An 8102-nucleotide genomic window follows, 5' to 3' on the forward strand; every position below is an offset into this window, starting at 1 on the left:
TCTGGGTGTAACCCCCAGTTTATGCAACTTTACTGCCAGGAGTATGCCTACAAGGAGAATATTAGAACATTTCTGGCTCAGCATTTAGTGTACTTGGCTGTCGTGCCTATTTCATAAGCCACAATATAAATTGTTACATATACCTAGGTACAACTTAGAGACATGATAATGACCCTCATATGTGGACCCCGTAAATACGGTTAATTCTGAGTCTCATAACTTGCTTCAGAAACATGAGAGATTAAATCACTTTCTGGTAAAAAAGAAGACAAGGAAGGTTATAAGAGCCTCAGATGTTTTATAAACACCTTGGCCCATACAGAGAGTTTTATAACAGAACCCAAGAGAAAGGTGAAACTGTGAGTCTTATATGTGCACTCAGCTGACAGCAAGTACTGTCACCGTCTCACATATATGATGCCAACTGTCAATCATGAAAACAGGACATGTGTGGTATTATAAATCTCATCCTCAGAATTTTCTGCCAGTGTGAGTGATATAAATCTTCGCCAAGCACCTGTGTGATTTTGTTCTCCAGACTTGTTCCAGTCCACATATGTTATTGTGATACCTACCTGGGCCAAACTTTAGGTGATGTGATGCTCCTGCCTCGGCCCTGCTGTCATTAAGAATCATGACATATCACTAGATCCAGCACCCAGGTCATGTTACATTTTTGCCTAAGCCATGCATAGAGAAATCACTGGGCCATACCACTGTGTCAACAACTTAGGCAACACAACTCTCCTTATTAGAATGGGCACAGCACTCAGTGGGTGATAGTGACATGTGGCTGGGCCAGGCACAGAGGTGACAGGACTATTTTGCTAGTACCATGTCCTAAAGAGGGCATTGTGACAAATCTCTTGGCCTATCCTAGGTGATACTGCACTCCTGCTTGGGTACTGCTTACCTGGATAACAACATAATGCACAGAGGTGATGGTACTTTCTTGCTAGGGCCATGTCCTAAAGAGGTCACTGTGACAAATCTCTGGGCCTATCAGCTAGATGATGTTGCTCTCCTGCTTGGGTCCTGCTTACCTGGATAGTGGACATATTGCTAGGCTACGCACATGGGTGATGGTACTCTTTCACCAGGGCCATGACTCAAGGAGGACATTGTGACATATCTCTCGGCCAGTCCCCTAGGTGATGTGACTCCCTGCTTCTGTCTTGCCCACATGGAGCATTGTGATATTTTTTTGTACTTATTTTTTGTAACTCTCTTTTCTGTGTCCTGTCTTAAGGAAGTCTTGTGACATATCTTAGGACCCAGCATCAAGGTGATGTGACTCTTCTGCCTGGCTTCACCTCACATGTTAGATTGTGTCATATACCTAGGAAGCACCTAGGTGATATGACTCTTCTCTTCTGCATGAGTCCTGCCTACTTGGGACATTGGGCCATATATCTGAGCCTGTGTCTTAAGTGATGTGAATCTTTTTTTCTGCAAGAGCCTTTAGAATGGGGTGATGTGATATACTGCTAGGCCCAATACTTAGGTAAATTGACTCCTTTTTTCCTGAACTATGCCCATGAAAAGGAACTTTGATGTATCACTGATCCCAGCATGAAGATGACAGTTCTCTTGTTACTAGGTCCAGCATAAAGAGAGAATTATGGCATATTGCTGGGGCCCCCACCCTGATGATGTAACTCTTTTGCCTGTGCTAGAATAACAAAGTATTTTTACATACCATGGGCCTATTCTGTAGGTAATCTTGTTCTCATCATTAGTATGCATTTCTTTTTCCTACATATTCTACATTTGGGTTTATGTCTTATTGCTGAGTCCAGCACCCAGTTATCATAACCCCAATTTCTAGACCTGCATTGAGAGGGCCTTGTGATATATTGCTTGGCACAGCACCTAAGTATGCTACCTTTCTGAAAAGTTTTTTTTTTTTTCTACAAATGGTATGAAATTTACATTCCTTCAATTCAGACGCATTATGATCAAGCTGAAATTGAAATTTCACCAATAGTAGATGTTTTGCCTTTCATGGCTACACTTAGAACAATAGGTAAGGTTATGAGTTGCAAATTTGTACAAAGTTCACAGAAGGTTACAACAGTAACACATAATCTATAAACTCCTTGGTTGGTACACAGAGTTTTATAACAGGGCCCAGTAAAAGTTAAGGTTTTGACTCTTGATTACACATGCAGGTGAGAGAAAAAGTTGTCAAAATCCCACATTTACAAAGCCCACTGTTGAAGTCCTGAGTCTAACAAGTAAATAAAGTACAAAGATGGAATTGTGACTTTCATATATGGATCTTGCTACAGGTGAGATGGTAACTCACTTCTGGACCCACATCAGGGGCATAATAATGTGTCTTCTGTCTGAATCTAGCCTATAAGAGGAATGTTGCCTATCATAACTGAGTTTAAAGCAGTATGTAAGATTGTGAGTCAATAGGAGCATGTAGGCCTCAGAATGGATTGCAACTCTCATGCATGTTGCTTAAAGCCTTTGTATGTTGTAGATTGTGTCATAGGATCACCCAGAATACACATGAGATTGTGACTCCTATATACTCACCAAACAGTCAAAGTTGTCACCCTAATAGATGAAGAGATTGTGCCATATCACGAGGCCTAGTACCTCTAGGTGTTGAGAATTTTAGGCTTAAATTCTTTTCCATGGTTGCATTGTAAAACATCCCTTGCTTAGAATCATAATAGTTTAACCCTCTGCTTGGACCCTGACAACAGGGGATATGATCACATGTCTTTAGGCCTATCAGCTAAGTGGTGTGTCTCTCCTGCCAGTGCCCTGCCCACAAAGGACACTGTGACATATCACTAGATAAAGCATCTAGGTAATGTGAATCTCCTCTCCTGCTGAATCCTGCCCACTGAAGAAATTGTGACATACCACTGAGTGAAAAACCTAGGTGATGTGACTCTCCCCTTTGTCCTGGGCTCTGCCAAGAGAGTCCGAGAAGATGTGCTGAGCCCAGTCCTTAGAGAATTTGACTATCCACTTTTTTTAATCCCTGTATTCAGTAGGCATGATGACATATTATTTGAGAGTGTACCCAGGTGATATGATTCTTCTGACTGAGTCCTGCCTACAGTGCAGAATAAAATGTATCCCTGGATCAGAATCCAGATGATGAGACTCTTCTGTCTTGTCTCTGTCCAAAGGTGAATTTGGGACATATACCTGGATTCAGCTCACATGCACAATAATAACTCTATGGCCATGGGTAGAGTTCTATATTACCCACCTCTAAGAATACACAGAAAAGTATCCCACTCAGGCATATCGTATAAAGCCTGAGTGGTACAAAGAGTGTCATAACAGGCACCCAAAACCAGGTGGTATTGTGACTCTTGAATGCACACCAAGCTGACACAATTGTTATTCTCACACATGAACAGAGCCTACCAATGCAGTGCTAAATCTCACACACATAAGACTTGAAACTGTTACACTTGTACGTGAATCTGATCCACAGGTGTTTGATGGCATTGGAACCATGATTAAGTAGAACTGTGGTGCTGTGTCTCTCTTATTAGAACACAGTCTTCGGGTGGGATTGGGGCTCTTACACATGGATCTTCCCATTGCTGAGATTGTGACTCCTGTACTACAACCCAACTCGTAGAATGTGTTGATTCGCATACTCAAAGCTCGGACTTGAGTGAACTGAAAATTATTTCTGAACCTTCTTGAAAGTATGATTGGGTCATGCAACCCTTCCCAGCATATGAGTAATTTGATGCACATTTCTAGGCCCAGACCACAGATGAAATTTTGCCATATGCGGAACAAGCCCCTAATCAATATATAACATCATCCTTGTCTCTGCCTATAAGGGGCACTTTTATATATCACTGGGACCGTCACCCAGGTGATGTGATTTACCTGCCTGAAAACTGCCTAAAAAGAGAATTGTGTCTTACATTTAGGTCCATCACATAAGTGATGTCACTCTCTTCTACTGTCTTGGCCCTGCAGTTACAGAGCACTGTGACACATAACAGGCTACTGCACCCAGGAGATGTGATTTTTTGGGGGGTTCTGCCAACATAGTAACATACCACTTGGCTCAGCACCTGGGTGATGTTTCTTCACTTTTCATTGTGTCCTGACCACAGGGAGCTTGGGACATATTCCTGGGTACAGCACCAAGGTGAGGGCACTCTTTAGCCTTCTTACTGCAGTTAATGGTCATTGTGACATAATCTAGGCCAATTTCCTAGATGAAGTGAGTCTTCTCTCATGCCAAAGTCCTTCCCACAGAGGGCTTTTTAAAAATATATCACTGAAACCAGCATCCAAGTGATCTGACAATTCTGCAAGCGTTTTGCCCACCAGGTGGATTGCAACATCTCACTGGACCTGCACCCATGTAGGTGATGTGAGTTTCTTGCCTTCTTTCTGGCCACAGGTGATATTGTGTCATATACCTGAGACCAAAACAAAAGCCTAATAACAACTCATATGTTTGGAGCCAGGACATGTGCAGGATGGTGACTGTAATTCCTAAATCTTTCCACAAGTGAAATTGTGACACATACCTTTGTCCAGCTCCAGAGAGATTTAATAATTCTTCCTAGGTATAGCCCACAAATCAGATTTTGACAAATACCTGGCCAAGTAACTTGATGATTTTACCGTGCTATTTTAACAATGGCCTCAGGAGGGATTGTATCATATTTCTGAACACATCATCTAGGTTACATGATTCTCCTCTCCTGCCTGTACCCTGCTTACTTTGGTAATTGTAGCATTTCTAAACACTGCATCTAAATGATACGACTCTCTTTCCTGGGCCCTGTCAACAGGAGGCATTTTGACATATTTTGGGGCCTATCATTTAGGTGATATTACTCTCCTCTTCTTCCTGGACACTACCCACAAGGGACATTGTGCCACAGAGCTGGACCCAGCACACAAGTCATGTGGCATTTCTGACAGGACCCTGTCTACAAAGATAATATTGAAATATTTCAGGCCCAGAATTTAGGTGATGAGGCTGTTCTGCCTGCTTCATAACCACTCATGGAATTGTAACATATACCTACGCAAGGCTCGCAGGAATGATAACGACTCTTAGATGTGAACTCAGCAAATAGAGAATATTTAGGCTCTTATAACTAGGTGTAGGGACATGTGTGATATCATGGATCACATTCTTGTACAAACATCACAAAAGATTACAACATTGACACATACTTTTATAGAGTCTTTGGGTTATACAAGCAGAACCAATGTAGCACTCAGCACACAGGTGAAATTGTGAGTCCTGTATGCAAACCCAGCTGACAGAAATAACTGTCATCATCCCACATGGTTGCAGCCAACTGTCACACGTAAAAACAGGACATGTGTGGTATCATAAAACTCACCTTTGACATTTTCTGACAGTGTGATTGTGATATACATATTTGCCAAGCACCTGTGTAGTTGGACTTTCCAGAATGGTCCCAGTTTATATATGAAATTGTGATATCTAGCTGGGTCAGCCTCAAGGGGATATGACTGCCATGCCTGGGCTCTTCTCTCAGTAAGTGTTGTGACAGATCACTGGATCTAGCAGCCAGGTGATGTTACATTCTTGCCTGTGCCATGTCCACAAAAATTACTGTGACATATTCCTGTGTCCACCTCATAGGTGATGTAACTCTCTTCTTTGGAATGGGCCCTGCCCGAAGGAAGGATAGTGACATATTGCAATGCCAGTCACACAGGTGAGGGTATTCTTTTGCCAGAGCCATGCTGAAAGTAGGGCACTGTGACATATCTCTAGGCCTGTCACCTAAGTTATGTGGCTCTCCGGCTTGGGCCCTGCCAACCTGGAGAGTGACATATTTCTAGGCCAGGCACACAGGTGAGGGTACTCTTTAGCCAGGGCTGTGCTTCATAGAGGACACTGTGACACGTCTCTTCAGCTATCACCTGGTTGAAGTGACTCCCTCTCTGGGATCTACTCACATGGAGCATTGTGGAATAAGCAGAGAATTTGTACCTCATTTATGTAACTCCCTTTCCTGGATGATATCCTAAGACAGCCTTGTGACATATCTCAGGACCCAGCACCCAAGGGACGTGGCTCCTCTACCTTGTTTCTGCTTACATGTTACATTATGCATATTTGAAGGGAAGCACCCAGGTGATATGACTTTCCTCGTCTCAATGAGCCCTGCCTACTGGAAACATTTGGACATATTTCTGAGCCCATGATCTAAAAATGTGACTCTATTTTTCTGCCTGGGGCTTCACATTAAGAGGATTTTGGCACATTGCTGATCCCAGCACGCAGAATATGTGACTCTCCTCTTGTTCCCGAGCCATGCCCACAAAAAAAGAATTTGGACCTATTGCAGGGCCCAGCATCCCGATGATGTTACTCACCTGCCTGGGTTTTGCACAAAGAAGAAACTATGGCATATTGCATATTGATAAGCCCAGCATCCTTATGATGTGACTCTCCGGCCTGTGTTGGAGCCACTGAAGGTATTTTGACATATCTTCAGCCCATAATGCAGATGTTTTGGCTCTCCTAACTTGGCTGGGTATTTTCTACATGTGAGATGTTGTCATATTGCTGGCTCCAACACCCGGTTATTGTGACCTAATATCCCCTATACCCTGCCTGAAGAAGGCAATTTGACATATTGCCTGGCACACCATATAAGTGATGTTTCCCTCCTGCATACTTATTTGGCCACATATGGGATTATGACATATATCTTGCTTTTAGTTCACAGGCATGATGATCAAACTTATTTTGGGATTCAGCCAATAGGAGATATTTTACCTCTCATCATTAGGCTTAGGGCAATAGGTAAGTTCCTGGGTTACATATTTCTACCAAGGTCATAGAAGCTTAACACTGAGTTATATTTTTTCAAACTCTTTGGTGGTAGAATGTTTCATAACAGGGCCCAGCAAAAAGTTCAGATTGAGACTCCTGGTTACACACCCAGGTGAAATCAAAAGTTGTCATCATCCAACGTTTACAATGTCCAAGGTTGAGGTCCTGAGTCTAACAGGGAATACAGCACAAAGTTGGAGGTTTGACTTTTATATGTTAATCTGACAAAAGTTGGGATGGTGACTCATTTCTGGACCCAGCCCACTGGCATAATAATGGGTCTTCCTCCCTAACCCTGCCTATAGGGAGATGATGACTATCAAACCTGAGTTTAGGGCCATATGTAAGATTGTGAGTCCATAGGAGCATGTAGTCCTCAGAGAGCTTTGCAATTCTTATGCAGGTTTATAAAACCCTCAGCTCCTGTAGACAGTGTTGTATATTGGCCCAGCACACATGTGAAATTGTGACGCTAATATACATATTCAGGTAAAAGTTAAAACTGTCACTCTCAAAGATGAGGAGATTGTGTCATACGACTGGACATAGTATGCAGGTGTTGAGACTTTTTGGCTCATATTCCTTTCCATGGGTTTATTGTTACATGTCAATGGGACAGAATCATAATAACTTGACTCTTCTGCCTGGGCCCTGTCAACAGGGGATATTATTACATATTTCTGGTCTTTTCGGCTAGGTGATGTGTCTCTCCAGCCTGTGTCCCGCACCCAGAGGACATTTTGAAATATCACTCTGCTCTCCTGCCTGGGTCTTGCTTATTGAAATGTAACTCCGCTCTCTTGCCTGGGTCTTGCTTATTGAAGGAATTGCGACATATGGCTGAATGCAAAACCTAGGTGATGTCTCTCCTGTCTATTCAAGAGTTTATATCTGTGCTGAATTTTGTTTCATGACTTTGGTGTTCTACCATTATACCGGCAGCACAATCCTTTGATTAATGTAGGTTTGCTTTGTGTTTGGAAATTGTTATGTGTAATGCTTCCTATATATATTTTTAAGATTGTCAGGCTTTTCACGGTTTATTGGAATCTCAAGTAATTTTGTGGAGTTTTGTCTATTTTTGGAAAAGTAAAATTAAAAATTGAAAAGGAGTGTGTTGCCGGTGTGCTTCACTTTAAGCAGTATGGACATCTTCATAATATTTTATCTTCCAACCCTTGAAAAACAGCATGCTTAAAAGTGCGTTGTTTTCTGGGCATGGTAGCTCATACCTCTAATCCCAGAACTTTTGGAGGCCAAGTAGGGC

This window comes from Homo sapiens, chromosome Y, assembly GCF_000001405.40.
Source record: "Homo sapiens chromosome Y, GRCh38.p14 Primary Assembly".
NCBI classification, from domain to species: domain Eukaryota; kingdom Metazoa; phylum Chordata; class Mammalia; order Primates; family Hominidae; genus Homo; species Homo sapiens.